The 21165-nt window shown below is 34.0% G+C and overlaps 2 annotated features.

The window, feature by feature from the left end:
* Positions 17286-17486: a silencer, noted in NCBI's record as "peak4364 fragment used in MPRA reporter construct". NCBI's record gives its function as "represses an SCP1 promoter by STARR-seq MPRAs in K562 erythroleukemia cells {active_cell/tissue: K562}" and the evidence as "EXISTENCE:reporter gene assay evidence [ECO:0000049][PMID:32103011]".
* Positions 20746-20946: a silencer, noted in NCBI's record as "peak4363 fragment used in MPRA reporter construct". NCBI's record gives its function as "represses an SCP1 promoter by STARR-seq MPRAs in K562 erythroleukemia cells {active_cell/tissue: K562}" and the evidence as "EXISTENCE:reporter gene assay evidence [ECO:0000049][PMID:32103011]".

Below are 21165 nucleotides of genomic sequence, written 5' to 3'. Positions count from 1 at the left end.
AAAAAAATTAAATTTTAAGAATCATAATATGATAAAAGTATACTGGGAAAGTTTGCTGCATAGGGAACAAAGTAGTTGTGAAATGTGAGTGGAGCACTCGATGTATAATGCTTTTGTGGCTTGAGTTTTTTTTTCCTTAGTAATAATACATTTCTTTGATGCTTACTTTTGTAAAATTTGTAAAGAAAATTTGAATAGTAGATAGCTTAGGAAACTTAGACTTCTTTGTAAAAAGAAAGTTGGCAGAGGTATTTTATGCATTACCAGCATTATATTATCATCAGATCTAGTCAAAAGCATTTCTTTCCAAAATTGCATAAGACTCAAAACCAGCTATTGTCTCCTACAATCATTGGTTTCAATAGACAGAAAAGAAAAATAGGGCCTTCCAGCATGGACCAATTGAAAGAGAAAAACTTGGAGGTTGAAAAATAAGGTTAAGTGCACGGAAAAAGTACTAGTTAAAATTGCATGCAGTTATCCATGTGAAGGGTAACTGCAGGAAGAATTATATATGAAGCAGATAGCATAAATACTAAGGTAGTAGACCGAGAGGATTGTGGTTAATTCAGAAGTCTATTGAATTTTAAGGAGTAGGAGGCAGTCATGGCTGACTGTGTTTCTTTCCTATTAATCTGGGGTATGGAAAGGCAAGAAGCAGGAACAATTACAAGTGTCTATTGTAGTCATTTAAATGAACCTATACATTATAAATTATATTCAATAAATTATAATCTATAGGTTATAAAATTTTTGAACAAGCAGTTACCACTATTAATTTTTACAAAACATTAATCTCATTAGTAACAAATCACTGGGGAAGAAAGAATTCTAGTTAAGTAAAGTTAAGTAAATTCTAGTTAAGAATTCTAGTTAAGTCAAATTTTTTCTTATATTTTCTAACTGAACTTTTTGTATCTCGTGCAATATTACATAGTATTCATAGTGTAGCCAGTGCATGGCCATAACATTTAAAGGCGTAAGAGGATATTATGGAGAACATATGCATGTATTGTCTGTTTTTGAGTTTCAACTTGAGAATGTAGCTCTGTCCTTCACAGAAAAGAGTGACTGTGATGGTTAATTTTAGGTGTCAACTTGACCAGGCCACTGAATGCCAAGATACTTGGTTCAACATTATTTCTAGGTGTGTTTTAGGGTGTTTTCAGAAGAGATTAACATGTGAATTGGCCAACTGAGTGCAGATGGCCCTCCTCAGGGTGGCTGGGCATCATACTATACACTGGGGGCCTGAACAGAGCAAAAAGGTGAAGGGAGTTTGAAGTTTTTTTCTGCTGGACTGGTTGAACTCGATACTGATCTTCTCCTGTCCTTGAAGACCCAGGTTCTCATGCCTTCACTTTGGACTAGAATATACACCAATGACCCTCTGACTCTCAGGCCTTTAAACTACATGACCAACTTTCCTGAGCCTTCAGCTTAACAGATGGAAGTTCATAGAACTTAGCTCCTTAATCACATGACCCAATTCCTCATTCTCTCTCTGTCTCTCCAAATGTGTGTGTGTGTGTGTGTGTGTGTATGTGTGTGTGTGTGTTTGTGTATAAATACATATTTGTACACATAAGTCCTGCTGATTTTGTTTATCTCAGGACTGGCTAATATAATCTCAAAGAATAACTGTGAATTTACTATATCCAGAACTTTTCAAAATACTTTAATAATGGAATAACTTGTCTGCCAAGTTTTGATTTCTGCATTTTTTTTTTGCATTGAGTATGAGGTATATCAATGTAATCAATCTAGTTATGATTAGGAGTAATTTGTTTATCTTAGCAAATACGTAGTCCAATCCATGTGTCTGAAAATAGGAATGGCAGAGGACTTAGTAAATCATGTAAGAATTATTCTTAGTTTTACTCTTCGGTTTTGATAATGTCTGTGTCTGTAATTGAACTCTACAAACCACAGTTCGGTTATCTTTTCCTGCCAGTAAAGACAAGAATAATTATACAGTGATTGTCACAGTAGAACAAAGATCTAAAATTTGGGGGCTCCGTGTATAACCTTACAGACAAAAGTGTAAAGTAAACCTACAATAGTAAACTTATCTTAAAGTCAAAATTTACATATATGTCTTTATAGACCAAAAGAAGAAAGAGAAATGTGTTCAAATCATCATACATGTTTCTACTTCTGACTGTAGTGGAGTGTGTGAATGTGTATGTGTGTAGGTAGGTTTAGAAATTTAACCAGGACTTCAGTTTTTCTTAGATTTATTCAGACTACTTTAATCTATAACAATAGTTTACACATAATAAATGTTCATAATATGAGCCTTTCTTCCTTTTCTGTCTTTAGAATTTCTTTAGAACACAATGCCCAGACTAATGTAACTAAATATATCATTCTGACTTTAGCTGTCTACGGCAGCACGACATGAGCACATATGAAAATATTTCATGGTTTTTAGTTGGTGAAGTCATTTATTTTTACTTGCTATAATTCTTCACAGAATTATTTGAAATCATTTCAATCACATAACATCTCAGAAAAGATTTTTTCTTTCACATTACTAAAAATGTATGACTCAAAATAATTACTAGTTATAAAAACCTATTTACATACCTTAACATATAAGTAAACTGAATCCTTTCAAGAAGGAAATTTATATACCTTAACATATAAATGAACTAAATCCTTCCAAAAACGAAATATAAGGGACTATTTGAATCAAATCAACTGTGTACAAATCATTAAAACTTAGAATTTTAGTTCTGAAATTAGAAAATTATTGATATGTAATAACCTAAAATGACCAATATATTTTAGTTTTTATTAATGTGAGACAATCATATATTTTCTCTCATTCAGAACTTGGTTACTTTCAAATAATGTTTATAATTTTTTTTTTCCTAGTGCCTTATGGTAATTTTTCCTTTTTATCTCTCAAATGAGTTCCAAGCTGTCTCAGTAAACTGATATCCTGTTCCTTTCTGCTTTCACAAAGAATATTTTACTTAAAAATCTTCTGATATTTTTAAATACATCCTGCACATAATTTATTAGTTTTAAAGTTTCCATAATTTATGGATCAAAAATATTAAGGTCTATTGTAGTTCATCACAATCCTTTAAATTTCTGGCAGGCATACAACCAGATTATAAATGAATCTGTAAGAGAATTTTATAGATAAATGAATTTTATGTAAGATTATATTTGAGATGCAGGTATCTCTACTTCAGAGAGTACTGATATTCTTGCTATGCTATCTGAAATCAAATCACAAAGATGATCACCAAAGAAAGTGAGGCATACTTTTGTCTGATTTTTAATACATAAATCCCATTTGAAATGATTTCACCAATTAAATATAGAAATCATAAGTATGTAATATTCATCTTTATGTTCACTTTCTGAATATTACCACAACCATTTGTAAGTCCTTGACTTTTGCAAATGTAAAAAATAAGTAGGATTTTCTTTACATTTGAAATTTCAAATAATTTTCAGCATGTTTTTCCAGCAACAGCCCTCCATCTTTGATATACTCAAAGAAAGAAATGGTAGCAGAAATCACATATAATTTGCAATTTTAATGTAGAAAATGTTCTTATAAGGACTTATCAAAAATTTAATGCTTTTCCAAGTTTAATCAATAGTGCCACCAGGTGGTTACATTAATGCAAGAAAAAAGCATTGTTAAAATGATTTAATTTCGTTTAAAAATGTTGTTGGGGCTTATTCACAACAAAGTAAAATAATGACTGTATTGAATACTTATATTTAATGGAAAGTAATATGAAACTTTCATTAGCTAACTTCTATTTCTTTATAGCAAATTATTATGAATTACCTAGTTTCATAAAGACTTGGTAAACCATTTAATCCTGATTTGTTGCACGTTATCCCTTCTTCATTAGTAAGCACATATCTTAACTTTCAATTCTACCAGTTTATACAGAGATGCCAACAGTTCAGAAATAACCAATGAGAAATGCACAGAAAGCATCACTAGTTATGTAATATAAATTTACCTTTCTCACTGAGATTTTTCCAGAAGTGTACCTTAATAAAAACTCATGATTTTTAAATTTAGGTAGTATTCTGGTTTTGTAAAAATTAATAGCAGCTTTATCATATTTTTACCAATGCTCATAATTTATGAATCATGCTTATTGCAACATTTAAATTTATTCATTTTCCTTTATTAAATGCAAATATTGTTTTTCCTTCCGTTTCCTTTCTTGTGCTGCTATAGCCTTTGGCCATTAGTAGCATTCCCTAGACTTTCCACCAACTCACCCACTGGAAGAGTGACTTAGCTTACTGCTGAGTTTGGAATGAGGAAGGAACTAGGCTTACATATTTCTGCTGTTTACTCTTCTAATAGGGGTCCGTCCTAGCTGCAGATAGCCTATTTTCTGAATTACTTTCAGTTGTGAATATACTTCGCTGTATAAGTCTATGATCTTCCAAGCCTGCTGATGATTAGTTCACCAATACTGCCTAATTATAGAGAAATGATAAAACACACAAGACCATAAATACAAGCTATCAGTATTTTTGTTAACAAAGATTTGTTTTCGTGTTTAGCTGCTTAACACTTGCACCAATTTCCCAATTAAATCACCACTTGAGTGGGGAAGAAAATAAAGAGGAACAACACATACATTTAATAAACATAAATGAATCAATTTGGATGTTCCTTTAAGAATGGCCCCAGCCAACAACCAGACTGTCATCATTCCAGAAGCTAACATAATAAATATTTGCTGCTTGAAACCGCTAAGTTTTGGGATAATTTATTGCTCAGAAGTAGATAACTAATATACCCACGTACTAATGACTGACAATGAGAAGCCATGAGGTCTACAGACTTGCCAGGTTGAAGTGGTTAAAGCTGTGGCTTCTTCCTCCTGAAGTGGCCTGGCGGGACCAGCTACCACAAGTGGGAATTGCAATGATGATAATGATTATGCAGCCAACTTTGATGGTGAGAGGGAGGAGAACAGGAGGATCAATTAGTGAATATTTCACAATTTGTTGCAATCCCACTCCCAACCTCAAAAGAAAAATCCCAAGATGTGATCATTTCACTTGGACTATCTCTAGACGTCCCCAAGATAGAGCAGTCGGTTTGGTTTTTGAGAACTGTGGCCAGCTGGGAAATGTACCTCTGATATTTTCTCCTTTCCTCAGCTGTCTCTTCCATCGGCTGCCTCTTCCTTCTTTCTTTCCCCTGGTTTCATTGGCATTACACTCCCCCAATAAAGCTTTAACCCAGCTTTTGCCTCCACTACTCTATTTCAGGTAACCTACCTGCAGCAAATATATTACTTAATTATACTTCTAAAAGTACAAGTTCATGTGGAAATCTACCAAAACCTGGTTTTACTAACTTTGGAATTGCTAAAAGTTATATGTAAGTTATATATAATATATTTAACTTATTTTAGCCATAAGAGAGCTCTAAGGAATTTGACAATTCAGATTTCCCCCAAATATTTGGAAACATAATTGTGGAAACTTAAGAGTTTTATGGTGCTGCTAATATAAGGATACCATGAGCTTTAATCTAGTTATTTTGAAATAGAAGCAGTATAGTCTGAATCCTGAGGTTGGCTATGAAAAAAAAAATACCATGTACCAGATGGATATCTAAATTTACATAATGGGATAGAATATCTACTGAAATTTTGAGTCAGATATTTAAGACATAATTTGCCAGCCACATTCTGCATTTAATTCAAGGTTGAAAATGAGTAAGAGTTGGCAGCATCTCTGATGTATAACACATTTACATGAGAAGAATGCACATCGATGCTTTTATTTATTTCTATATGCTATATTGGCTGCATCTGCCATAAGATTAGAGTTGCTAAGTAATGTGAAAAATTATATTTAAAAATGGCAATAACAAAAGCAATCATATATCAAGTTTCAAATAAAAGATATTTAGTTTTTCCTTAGTAGACACTTAATTACATTGAATGATGAAAATATATTGGCTATGTATAAATTAGAGAAAAACCAAGGGACAAAGAAGGATGACCTGAAAATGAGAAACTGTGCCAGTCGCTGCATAGAGGATGTGAAATATCTATGGTCTTGATCTTACGGAGACTTGGAGATGTAGCGAGTAGTAAATTATACCTAATCGGAATAATTTGTGAGAAAATTCAGAAAAACTAATTCAAGCAAATTAACATTTTGAAAGTGTGAATGATTCATAGGATTATTATACTAAACTACATCTTGGTTCCAACCGCATAAGTCAATATTATATTTATACATTTACATACACAAACAATAGCCTGCTAGGGCATATTCTCAGGGTGATCTTGAAATTTTTTAAGCAAATTTTGTTGACAGATATAAAATAATCTTAAAGCAGTGTTTATTTGAGAATAAATATTCTAAACTGCAATTTACCATTGATAGCCATTCTTAAAACATTGGTTCTGAATCTCTTATAAATGTAAATGTATAACGTTTATTAAATATCTTGGAAAAAATCAAATTTACTGTGTATTGCTTTATTTATATTTTAATTTTTTTGCTAACTAGAACTATTTGTTTTGATGAGATAACTATTCTGGCATTGGTTATTCAAATTATTTAATTTATTTGTTTTTTTGGCAAGATTATTCTGTATTGATTTAAACAATAATCATTGAATTAATTTGTATAACATTGCTATGTAACTTTAAGCAACGTTCGTATCACATCAATGTTTTATTACCAAAAAATAATTTATAGCTTTTTTTCATGTAATGTGGGTCATTGGCAAAAATAATAATCCTCCTGGCTTCATAAAATTAAAGGGTTCCAAATCATTAACATACAAAATTAATAATAAACCATTTAACATAGACACTTGAGGGAGACCAGATGTTTCTGCCTAATTAGAGAAGGCCTGACCCTAGATGATAGTGTATTTCAATCACCTTTTTAAATAAGCATAAAGCCAGCACACAGAGCTTAATGCAGCCCACAGTGACACAGTGAGGATTAAGGAAGCCTCAGTAAAATGTCAAAATCATGCAAAGGTGAAAGGGGGAAAAAGTAACACTATCATAAATATAGAAACTCTTCTCTCTTTTTGTCCTATAGGAAAGTAGAGTTGTTTTTTGTTGTTGTTGCAATTATTGTTGAATAATGAATAACATCTACAAATTGAAATTTGAGCAATGCAACTAAGCAGGGATTAAATGGTAATATTTAAACTTAGGTGCATGTATTAAAATCTTAAATCTAAAGAAATATAAAAAGAAACTATGAAAATAACAATTGAAAAATAAAAAAATAATTTTGAAAATATTAAGTAATTGGGAATGTTATCAATCCAAATGCTAATGAAAATATGAACAAACTGTAAATCTCAAGCTTGATCATTAAAAAGTAGAGAAAATACACACACAAACAAGAGTAGATATGAAGAAGCAAATGACATGAAGATAAAAGAGAAGTAATAATAGTTTAAAAATTCTAGAACATGTAGTAAGACATGGCAAACATTTCAATAAAAAAATAGATAATTATATAACAGGAAAATCTAAATAGTCAAAAGAATTACCAAGAAGTTTTAGTACATGTTTCCTTGGACCACATCTACTTACTATAAACCTACATACATTTAAGGTTTTTTTATGGTTTACACTTAAAAGCAGAATTATATTTTGGTCGATTGAAAATATCTGTAACTTTCTTGCATATTGCTCACTTTCTCTTCGACATGACTGTACTTATTTATATTTCCTTATATTCTTATACCATAAAATTCTTTTATACTATCAGATTGTTTAATTTTTGTCAAAGGTTCTGAATTGGTATTTCATTGCTATTGTAGTTCCCTGATACCAATTAGTATGTACTTCTTTTCATAAGTCTTTTATTAATAATTTCCAAACAGTTTTTTTTCAAAGTGGTAGTACCATTTTCATTGCTGCAGCAATATATGACAGTTCCCTCTGCTCACATTCTCACCAACACTAGTCAGTTTTTCTCTCATTTTGTTTTAATTTTAGCTCATCTGGTGGGGTTGTAATAGTATTAACTCTGATGTTGACTTTTTTCTCTTGGTTAATAATGACTTTGAGCAGCTTTTAATGTGCTTACTCTTGACATTTTGCATGCCACCCTGCTAATATATAGAAACACAATGAGTTTTAGTAAATTTACCTTATATATAAATCTTAACAAATTCAAATATTAATTTTAATAGTTTGTCTGCGTAGTCCTTTGGATACTCTGCCTATCAGTTACATTATCTGTGAATGGGGATAATTTTTGTTTTTCTTAGTTCGAATGCCTTTTATTTTTTTCTATTTGCCTATTCCACTAGCGAGCACCTCTAATACAATATTGAATAGAAGTGGCAATCTTGGGCTTTCTTATCTTTCACCTTGCCTTATAACTCTTTCTGAAGAGATATTGTACGAAGTTTTAGCATTTAGCATGATGCTACTTGTGGGCTTCCTGTAGAAATTCTTCATCAGATTAAGAAAGATGTCTTCTATTTCTAATTTTCTGCAAGCTAATATCATAAAAGAGGGAAAACTTTCTACTACTTCGTAGTAGAAATAGAGCTCTCCTGATTTTTACAGTAGTCCCTCTCATCACAGGCCCAGAAAATTAGGAGGGAGAAATGGTTTTGTGGGCCAAGCCCAGGGCCCCACTGCTCTGTGCAGCCCCAGGACATGATGCTCTCCATCCCAACCACTACAGCTCCAGCTGTGGCTAAAGAGGGCCAAAGTACAGCTCAGGCCATTGCATCAGAGGGTTTAAGCCCCAACCACTGGCAGCTTCTGTGTGGTGTTGGGCCTGTGGGTTTGCAGAAGACAAGAGTTGATGTTTGTGAACCTCTGCGTAGATTTCAGAGGATGTATGAAAAAGCCTTCATGTTCAAGCAGAAGTCTGCTGCAGGGGTGGAGCCCTCATGAAGAAACTCTGCTAGAGAAGTGCAGAAGAGAAATGTGGGGTTGGAACCACATATAGAGTCCCCACTGGGGTGCTGCCTAGTGGAGCTGTGAGAAGAGGGCCACCACCCTTCATACCCCAGAAAAGCAGACCCACCAATAGCTTGTACCCTGCACCTGGAAAAGCCACAGATACTCAATGCCAGCCCAGGAAAGCAGCTGCAGGAGCTGTACCCTGCAGAGACACAGAGGTGGAGTTGCCCAAGGCTGTGGGAGACCACCCCTTGCATCAGCATGCCCTGAATATGAGACATCAAGTCAAAGAAGATCATTTTGGAGCTTAAGATTTAATGATTGTCAGGCCAGATTTTGGCCTTGCATGGGGCCTGTAGCTCATTTATTTTGGCCAATTTCTTTCATTTGGAATGGTAATATTTACTCAATGCCTATAAATATTTACTCAATATTTGCAATGTACCCCCATTGTATCTTGGAAGTAATTAACTTGTTTTAAAATTTACAGGCTCATTGGCAAAAGGAACTTGCCTTGTCTCAGATGAGACTTTGGACTTGGACTTCTGAGCTAATGCTGGAATGAGTCAAGACTTTGGGGGACTGTAGAAAAGGCATGATTGATTTTGAAATCTGAAAAGGATATGAGATTTGGGAGGGGCTGGGGCGAAATGATACGGTTTGGCTCTGTGTCCCTACCCAAATCTCATCTCAAATTGTAATCCCAGCATATTCTGAGATCTGATGGTTTAAAAGTGGCAGTTTCCCCTGTGCTTTTTCTCTCTCCTGCCACCCTATAAGATGTACCTTGCTTCTTCTTACAGCACGATTGTAAGTTTCCTGAGTGCCCCCCGCCCAGCCATGTGGAACTGTGAGTCAATTAAACCTCTTTCCTTCATAAATTACCCAGTATCAGGTAGTTTTTCTTTATAGCAGTGTGAGAATGGACTAATACACCGTCTATTAGAATAAACATATTTTTTCTACTTTATTCTATTAATGTCATAAATCAATTAATTTTCAAATGTCAAAACAACTGCATCTCTGGGGTTAGCCTTCATGCTTTTGTTTTATTATTTTTTATATGTTGCTGGATTCAATTTCCTAATATTTTACTTTGGATTTTTGCGTCTATTTTCATGGAAGTTATTAGCATGTAATCTTATTTTCTTCTAGTACTCTTAGAAGTATTTTTCTTTGAATTTTCCTGCTTAGTATTTTTTGAGATTCTTGAATATCTGGATTTTTAAAATGTGAGATTTGGATAATTCTTGACATGGTTTGGCTCTGTGTCCCCACCCGAATCTCAGCTTGAATTGTAATAGCCCCCACACACCAAGGGCAGGACCAGGTGGAGATAATTGAATCATAGGAGCAGCTTCCCCCCCATGTTGTTATTGTGGTAGTGAGGGAGTTCTCATGAGATCTGAATGTTTTATAAGGAGCTTTCCCCTTTGCTCAGCACTCTCATTCTCTCTCATGCTTTACTGTGAAGAGGTTCTTTCCATCATGATTGTAAATTTCCTGAGGCCTCCCCAGCCCTGTGGAACCTTGAGTCAATTAAACCTCTTTCCTTTACAAATTACTCAGCCTCGGGTATTTCTTCATAGCAGCATGCAAACAGACTAATACTATATATATATATATATATATATATATATATATGTATATATATGTATATACATATACATATATATACGTATACATATACATATATACATATATATACATATATATACGTATACATATACATATACACATATATACATATATATACACATATATACACATATATACACATATATATACACACACACACGTATGTGTATATATACACACACACACATATATGAACTATTAGTATACATATGTGTGTGTGTGTGTGTGTGTATATATATAGTTCTAAGTTTAATATGGGGGGGTCAAGTAGGAAATTTTTTGGAAGAAAATTTTGGGAGCAATTACACATGTTTGTGGTAATGACCAGTTATAGGCACTGTTTCAGCATGATCCTGGGTAAAATATAAGTGAGAAAAAAAATGGCTGATACAACTTTACAACTTTAGGTAGAGAATGATTGCCAATGGTGGGATTTTTTAATATATTTGTAAAGAGTAAATAAACTATATTGCTTGTAAAATAAAAAGAAATATGAGTATCAAAGCATAGATAACTTTCAAATATATGAATTTTTAAAAATAATTTTACTTAGTTTTATAAAAATTACACATGATATTTCATTGAGCTTTTATTACCTGATTCAATTTGAAATTAATTTCACACTAGAAATATGCAGTCTCTCTTCCATATGGATGTGTTTTGAAAAATACCAAATTATCTGCAGCTTAGTTTACTAAAGTTTTCCTGAAGCAGAACAAGATATATAAACACATTATATCAAAATCATGTTTATAGTAAATAAAGCTATTATTGCCTCATTCTGTAATTTCTGTTCTACTTTCCTTTCTGGTTTTCCAGGCTCCACTCTCAGTCCCCAAATAAATGACTGAGACTAAATGTTTAAGTGGTCATTTTAAATACTTCATTTCTACCTAATACATATAATAAGTATAGGTAGATTTTTTCTTTTAGAATTCATAAATACCCCATCTGATGGAAATCTAACCAATACAACTTCCAATTTTGCAATGTAACTTCTATTTTCCTTTTCAGTTTCTTCATTTTACTGTGTCCATTTCAACTCTGGTTCCATTTATTCAGCAATTGGCTCATCTAATGTTCTATCCAAAGATTTTTCCTGATTCCTTCATGAATTAAAAAATACAGTCAAAAATGCCTGGTTAAAGTTCTCTTAGTTGGGCAAATTGCTCATAAATATTTAATTCAAGAAACACATAATTATTAACTCATACATTTTCATTCATATAATGGTTCTTTCTGACATGACAGTGTCAAAATTTTATTCTAAGGGACAAACTGTTCACATACAAGTGGTTAGGAAACTTTCTTCATTGAATAGATGGCAAGTAGTTTATAAGCATACTCCTCAGAACAGTGAGTAAAAGAAATTATCTGTTTTATTGTCTCATTTTGGAAAAGCTATTATCTAAACTATTATTTTTCATATAACACAGAAAATATTCCAAGAAAATAGATTGTAAGCATGATTCACTGAGTAAATGTGGCAATTTTTACATATTTTAAAAATAAAAAATAGTGTTTAGATTTATAAACTTGTGTAAGTGCATTAATCAGTAATGTTTCAGAAAATAAATACATAGGTACATGATAAAACAAAAGACGTTTCGCTCTGCAAACAGAAAAAATCATTTATTTACAGCATCTCAAACTTTTCCTCTAGATATTATTTTCATCATTTTTATGTTTACCTTTCCAAGTTAATTTTATTCATCCCATAGCATTTAAAAAATTAACTTTGTATTATTTTTGAAAATCTGGTTTATCAAAGTGAACATTTGCCTGTATACATTTACTATATTTTTCAATACAATATATTTTTTTCAACACAAATATTGTATGTCAATACAATACATACATACAAGTGACCTTGTATGTCACTTTCTACAAAATAATTTGCATGATTTAATATAATAATGGGATTTAGTTCTCAGACAGATGGTTAGAACTCCATGTTCCTTCTTAGAGTATTAACATTTTTAATAACCATCCTGAATGGCATTGTTCTCATCAGACTCAATTTTGGAGATAATCCAGTTATGTGAAACATGATTGTCATCTTCTCTATGACACTTCAAACTGCAATAAAAACATGGAAATGAAAAATATATTTTAAACCAGAGACACAAATCAGAGAAGACATATCAATGTAAAGGTGTTACAGTGTATCTTAGTGTCAAGAGTTTAGAGACCACAAATGATGTTACAGATTCAACTCTCAACACATCATACACCTAAATTAAATGATGGTTTTGAACACAAAGTGAGAATCTAGGGTGGAGAAACATTACAGCTAGATAATTTTTTAAAGTTGACTAGAAATCTGCCTATTTATTCAAAGAAAACAAATTCTATCCATATTCTGATTAAGTCAAATCAAATAGAGTAATTTTACGTGGAAATTTTGTAAATGGTAAGATGATGAGATGGGTGATGGAGGTACACATACTTAATTTTATTAAATAGAAAACAGGCTTGCTTTAAAACAGTCACATCTGCAAATATAATATAAAATTACTTTTATTTGAATAGAAGTCCATTCCCTAATCTTAAGCGAGTAATATCTCCCTAAATGACATGGAAAAGGGAAGGGTGATTGTGCCTATCTCATTCCTGGTATAAGGTAAACATTTCAGATGTTTATTTCTTTTACTCAATACTAGTTATCTTACTTTAAAATTATCTTTAATTATAACGTAATTTAAACCAGTTATCTATCACTTAATGAATTTGCAGTCAAGATGTCAGCTGGGTTTACAGTCATGTGAGACCTCTTGTGGGGTTATAGGGACTGCTTCTAAGATGGCTTAGTGACATGGTTTTTGGCAGAACGCCTCAGTTCCTTGGTACTTAGGCCTCCCTGAGGGCTGCTTGAGTGTCTTTATGGCATGGCAACTGCTTTCCTCTAGAGTGAGTTATCCCTGAAGGCGAGCAAGATAGAAGGTTCAGGGATTCAACGTCTTTTATGACCCACCTTGGGTGTCACATACCATTACTTCTGGCATATTCTGTTCTAAATTAGCAAGTCCAGTTCAGTCCATAGTCAGAGGTAGGAGAATTAGGTTGTACTTTTCTAGGAAGAAGTGTTGAAAGATGAGTGGACATATCTTAAAACTATGACAGGGAAAACACAGTGAATTTGTATATGTGTAATAAATGGGTGCAACACTTAAGAAAGGCAGGGAGAAACAGAGATAATAGCTTCAAGTGACCATAAATGGTGACTGAACTGCTTTTTAAGAAATGCGGTAGGCCATGCTAACTTCTAGGATTCTTGTTTTGCATAATAGTGTTTAAATAAGAATCAAAGATGAATATCGCTAAAAATAAAAGTATATAACTAATATATAGTTATATATATTAATTTATATATATATATATTAATTTCAGAAGGCAGGACCCCAAAGAACTTTGTGATCAATATGAAGATGCCCAAAGGGGAGGTTTGCTGATTGATGCTATTTTTCTTCAAGCCATATCATCTAATATCTATAATTCATAAAAAACAATTGGCAATGAATCTTTTTAGTGCATGTATGATTAGCTGTATATGGACTCTGGGTAGATTCAAGTCATGAGGCATCTGCTTACATTAGGCTTTCGTGTCTAGGTTATATTAAACACATTCTTTGAGGTTACAAAAGCTGATGTACTCACAAATTATCAGGAAAAGTAAATAATCAGTCAAAATCCATGACTGTGTGTTAACATATAATTTAATTTGTCTGTGATTATTTATTTGCTACAATTAGTAAAAATGTCAACAAAACAAGTTTTGCTGGGCACTGTGGCTCATGCATGTAATCCCAACACTTTGGGAGACAGAGGCGGACAGATCACTTGAGTGCAGGGTTGGCGATCAGCCTGGGCAACATTGCAAAACGGTGTCTCTACAAAAAATACAAAAATTAGCCAAGTGTGATGGCACATGCCTGTGGTTCCATTTATTGATCTATTGGGGATGCTGAGGTGGGAGAATTGCTTGCCCCCAGGATGTTGAGACTGCAATTAGCCAAGATTGCACCAATGCACATCATCCTGGGAGACAGAGGGAAACGCTGTCTCAAAAAAAAAAAGAAAAAAGAAAAGAAAAGAAAAAGAAAAAAAAAGATAATTTAAATGCTAAATGTGTTAGAATAATAACTAGGCTATAACAATAAGTCTAAAAATACACTGGATTATATAAGATAAAAATTCATTTCTGTATCATATAACACTCTAGCTAGTCCAAGCAGGTGGGGACTTTGCTGCACAGAATTGTTTAAAACCCTAGTTAATTTCATTTCTTTGCTATCCACAAAGGTTTCCTTTATACCTGAATGGCCAAGCAAGAGTCAATGCCCTTGCTCTGTCCAATAGGAGGCATGTGTAAAAAAGAAAGGAAATCTCTGGCAAGTGTGTGAGTCAAGGATGACTTGGAAATTGCACACCTCATTCCAGCTTACATCGATTAGTGTGAACACAGTGATATAGCCACACCCCACCACAGGAGAGCCTGCCAACATAAAGAAAGGCAGCCAGCTGCCCAGCTCAAAAATCAGGAGAGCTCTACTTCTACTACAAACAAGGAGGTAACAGATAATCTTAGCCATCTCCACCACAGTAAGAAAATGGAGGAACTGGTCTATGAAGAAAACTATAAAGACTGAAAGCTGATTATAAGAGCTGGGTCATTTTTGTCATACCCAACTAAAATGGACTGGAGAAGCCATGGGGAATAAGCACTCAGGGCACAACACATTGATCCAAAAATGTGTTTCTCTGCAAGGCTGGCAGCTAAGAATGCCTGCTGTAACCTGAAAGTGGTTTTATCAGATGACTGCTGAAACAACCTGCCGCAACTTATACTCAGACTAGTTTTTCTGCTGCAGTGACTTAGCAATCAGAGCTTGCCAGCTCCTCAAAACATTATTAGTGCCAATGAAATTTCCCAAAGAACCATGTGTAACATTTCTCCTTTTTATAAAACCTATAGTCTTTTCTTTATCCTTCAGAGAGCACACTTCACTTACACTGAAGGCTGTGCCTTCCCAATCTGCAGGTGGGTTTTTGTTGTTGCTTTTGTTATAGCAAAATAGAAAATAAACTTCTCTTTTTCTTCCACAGATCTTACCATGTTTTGTTTACAAGGCCTGAGATAATTTAGCCAGAAAAAAATAAGTTTGGTAATTTAAATATCTAAACAATGCCATGGATAAAAGAATACAATTGGTCCTATTAAAATTTCTTTTTTCCTAGCCAGGATGAGCATTTGCTATTGAAATCTGAAATAGTTCAGTTCCATACACAGTAGAGGAAGCACTTGGCAGTAACTCAACTCATCCTCTGAGGATTTGTGGCAGCTTTTACCAAACATTCTGCATTCATGGTGCCATAAGTGTTTCATCTTTCACAGCACTCCTAGAGTAAAAGAATTACCTGAGTTACCGGGTGTGGTGGCTCATGCCTATAATCCCAGCACATTGGGAGGCCGAGGCAGGTGGATCATTTGAGGTCAGAAGTTCGAGACCAGCCTGACCAGCAGTGTGAAATCCCGTCTCTACTAAAAATACAAAAATTAGCAGGACATGGTGGTGCACACCTGTAATCCTAGCTACTTGGGAAGCTGAGGTAGGAGAATTATTTGAACCCAGAAGGCAGAGGTTGCAGTGAGCTGAAATCGTGCCACACTGCACTCCAGCCTGGGTGACAGAGTGGAACTCCCTCAAAAAAAAAAAAAAAAAAAAAACCGAATTACCTGAGTTACATTTATTAAGTACTTAGTTCCAAATAACTTACGAATTTATATACCAACAATTCTGTAGCCTTTTGAAAAAAAATACTTCACATTAATGGAAAGAAAACCAAATATTTGTATTTCATTGCCAAAAAAATCACAATTACTTACTAATGGGATATGTGTTCTTGCAGCCAAGAAATGAATTCACAAAAACGTGACATCCTCTAAAGAAATATAGTATGAGATAATGTTGAAACTGAGTTACCTGGAGTAAGTAGTGTCCGTGATATTTGGACATGCCAAGTATTGCTATGCTTCCTTGAAACTTTAGGACATTCTATGATGTCCCTGTGACTGCCTTGACGTGCAGTTTGGGAACTGGAGGCATATGGAATGCAATATATTAATACCAAAGAGTATATTGGCAAAAATATAAATGGATACAGAAGGAGTCTAGAGAAATGTATCAGTGACTAAGCCATAAGAGGGAAAAATGATGATTTTTAGAAAAAAATTCACTTTGGAAATAGAAGGTCATTAATTAGCAAAACAATTGAAGTATTATGTAGAAGGGAGGGGAAAGACCCAGCTTTACCTATTTACAACATGTGGAATCCTTGTTCTTAAATCTACATTCAGTTATAACTAGGTCAAAGTACATTAATAACAGTCTTATTACAAAAAGCAAAAGAAAATGAAAGCATATTAGTGTATTTAGAAAATATAATAAAGAGAGATAAAGTTTAAAAAGTAGCTAAATAAATGTCAACTTAGAAATCCTTATAAGGGAATTATAAATACAAAATAAATAAATAATAACACTATATTTAAATATTAAGCAATTGGAGATATATTAAAACTGTTTAAAGAAACAAAATTATGTAAAATAAACCAAATAATTTAGAACATTTGAGGCTTAGGAATAGGAAAAAAATGGTCTAAGAAAAAAAAATTAAACAATGTAGCCAGAAAAGAAGCAATGAAATAAAACAGTGTAAGACATAACAAATAATTCTGAGAGCAATGGGTACCTGTATGTAATGAACTGCTGTTTCAAATCATCTCCTATGCCTCTAAGCAGACTGCTTAGTGTGGAAACTACAAAGAGTAGAACTAATTATCTTTTGCCTTTTGCTGACTAATGATCATTCTGCTTGAAATACTGTGTATCTGAGGAGACAAACTCTCTTAGTAAGTACTTCGGATAGCTCAAATTATCAACATAGTAGCAGTGCTGGATACTTAAGTACAATCACTACTTAGTTGTTTCCTTCATTTATTAGAGGGAACAATATTTTCCTTCATGACTTTTGTTGTAAAAATAACTATATTTGGGCCAGGTGTGGGGGCTCATGCCTGTAATCCCAGCACACTGGGAGGCCAAGGCAGGTGGATCACTTGAGGCCAGGAATTAGAGAACAGCCTGGGCAACATGGTAAACCCTGTCTTTACTAAAAATTCAAAAATTACCCAGGAGTGGTGCCGGGTGCCTGTAATCTCAGCTACTCAGGAGGCCGAAACACAAAAATTGCTTGAACCTGGGAGGCGGAGGTTGCCGTGAGCTGAGATCACGCCACTGCACTCCAGCCTAGCCAACAGAGCAAGACTCTGTCTTAAAAAAATAAATAAATAATAAATCATAAAAAAAGTATTTGGTTATTTTATATACATTGAGGTTTAGTATATATACAAATCTGTCTGTATATATATTTGTGTGTATAAGTTTTTGTATGTATCTATGCACACACAACTTTAGCACTTTCATCCATATTTGATCATTAAACTATACAAGGGAATAGAAGAAAGAAAATTTCTTAATTTATTTCCAATAATATAGTTAAGCTAGTCAGTATTACTCGAGGATGAATATGTAGATGTTTGTGACATCTTTTATGATGTAGAAGAGAAAAAAAATCTGGCATTCTGAGTTCTGAAACACAAAGTGAGCTTAAGTATTTATATCATTGAATCTCAGTTGCTTCAGTTTCATTAGTGTGAGGCAAATTATTACCCCATCTTGAATTATAACCATTGGGGGATTTCTCAACAAATAAAAATATTGTTTTGATACTAGGAAGGCAAAAATGAAAAATAAAATGTATCAATCACAGTTCGATTTTTTGTCTGCCGAACATTCATCTATCTGTAGTCCAACCATCCATCCATCCATTAGGTCTTTAATGAAAACAAAACAAATACCACCTAACATAAACCATTTATATCCAGAATTACTGGAAGTGAACTCACTTTAATCTCCAAGGGGAATGAGTATACCTCTTATCAATAAGGCCTCAGACCCTCTGTCAAGAATCTATGACTCACATCCAATACTAGTCAAAATATTTTACTACAAAATATGATTCTCCATATTATTAGGCCTATGCGTAAGCTTTTCAAATTAAGAACTATTGACATGATGCATTTACATGAAGGGCATGTAGATGAGTTTAATGAGAAAATTAATGACATGCACAAATATACTAATGACTAGGAAGGAAAAATACAGATCAGGTCTATAGTCCTCCTTTTTGCAACCCTTCACAATCCTATATCTCCTATTTGTTCTCTGCAATATTACCTAGTCTATGTTATCTTCACCTTCCATCTTTGGGTAAAATTCTTTATCTGGTGGGGTGATGTGGGCCATCATAAAGTAGACTTATTTTAATGTTTACTTTTGGACATGTTACTATTAGGAGGCATGTCAGAGAATTTTCTGGGCATATGTTTCCTGATTCTGTTTAAAAGCAGCACTTTTATTACTTTTGCATAGTCAAAATCAGTAACTGAAGATAGTACTTTGTACTGTTTTACCTGTTTTTTTTAGTAAGGTAGAGATACTGAAATGGTAAAGTATCTGCCTGATTTTAAATGGAACTGATTTTGTAGCATTTGGCAGGAGCATTTCTCTATTATATACCAAATGCTCTAAAACAAAGAACCTAGAGCCTTGAGGTAAGTTTGAGAAGACGATTTCTGCAAACAAGTACCTAAGTACAATCATAAGAGAGGAATTCTTCCTAGGGCATGTATTACGGTGTTGCGGGACTTTCCCTTAGTTCAGCTAAAGATGGGGTCCTTGTCACATGGCCATGAAAATTTAGGCTTGCAGCTGATTTGAAGGATGAATAAGGCAGGGTTTTATTGGGTGAAAAGGGAAAAACCGGGTAACATGGACCCTCCACATAGCCAGAGTCCCTGTGGGTGTGCTTCCTGTCTTGCACTTTGAATTCTAGGGCCCACCTAGGAAGAGGAGGAGCCAGGCTCCTCCCTGCTGCAAATGAAGTGAACCTCTGTGGCTCCACTCCAATGTCAGCTCCCCCCAGTGCACAGGTGGGTCAGAGACTCTGCAGGGAGCCCTTCCCACCTGGCCGTCTCAATGGTAATAAGAGAACAAGAAGTATCGTATGTTTGTTATTCAGTGCATAGAGAACATTTTGGCAGGCAGCAACCCCTGTTGCATACTTTCTCTCCTCTTTGATATTGTAATTGAAATATCTGTAGGTTATTCCATGTGAGACCACCTTCCTTTGTGGGATAGAGAATATTTTTGCAGTAAAGGTATATATCTTGATTAGAAAAAATGCTTGATGGAATACTGTGGAAATATATATGGTATTAAGAAAGACCATGCATAGCTCTAGAGGAAGAAGCCTGTAAGCCAATTTTTTAAATGTGAAATCTACATTATGTTTGCCCATTGAGAACAACTTGCATTCATCTATAGAGTGGAAAATTGATTTACAATGAAATTACCACTAGATATAATTTATCCTCATTGTGTTGGTTTCTGCTGAAGGAAAATTAGGGATGTGTCAATGAGCATGACTCCACAAGTAAGACACTCATGTAGCTGCCCTCCATCCAAGTGTTAAGAGACTCAGTGACCAATCACAGAGGACAACTGGAAGGAGAATATTTAGATCCATATGGCAAGTCATCCTGACCATTCTACTATTAAGAGTCTCACCCACAGAAAGATTTTTTGATGAGCACTAATATAAGAAAAATTATTCTCATGTTCTAGGGCTATAAAGAAAGAATTATCCACACATCTCTTCTCCGAACCCCCTCATAATAAAATTCCCAGTTGCCTCCCTAAGTTAAATACTATTTTCCATCCAAAACCTTAGCTATTGCCACAAATAAGTGTAAATCAACTAGACCAGGCTATTTTTTTCCAACCAATGTACCTTGGTACTTAAATTCTGTCTTTGTGATTTATTTTCTACATGCCAAAAGACATTAATAATTAGTGAACCAATAAATATTCTCTCCTTCTTCTGAATAACAAAAGCTCAATTTTAACTACACATATTTCTTCCCAGAATATGGCCTTACATCCAGACATGTCACATTTTGAGGGCCTTTCATTTCTTGTAGCATTCTCTACTTGCCTGTAGACAAGGTGTATAGCCTACTTCCGTGCCATATCTTTAGAGTAGTTTTCTCAGTAGAATTGCTCTTTCCCGGTCCTAGCATTATGTGGAATCCAGTTCTCGCTTTTGTATGCAGATGTCTGTGCAATCATATTCTGTCCCCTGCGGATTCAAAATCACAGATACCAAGGTGCTTAGTGAATCTAGGACAGTTATCTCCGGGGAGTAAACAGGTTTAGTTTTATCTATCTCCTGTGGGTTTTCTTTATATTTCTGTCTGCTGGATAATTTTTTTTTGGCTTTTGATATCAGCAATGTGCTTATCATTTTAAAATTATTTTACTTCCTTTTAGTGATTATTTTGGATTATTTTTTGTGGTATAATTTTTAGCTCCTTCCAGCAAATCTCAATTTTCAGTGTAAATTCAAGCTCCATTTATGTCATGATTTAAATTGTTGTCATTTTTTGGTTATAGAAATTTTTTCTTTCTTTCTCTCTCTCTCTTTCTTCTTC

This window comes from Homo sapiens, chromosome 21 (assembly GCF_000001405.40).
Source record: "Homo sapiens chromosome 21, GRCh38.p14 Primary Assembly".
Classification (NCBI taxonomy): Eukaryota; Metazoa; Chordata; class Mammalia; order Primates; family Hominidae; genus Homo; species Homo sapiens.
Note: the sequence above shows the minus strand (reverse complement) of the source record. Positions and strands in the feature narration are given on the sequence as shown.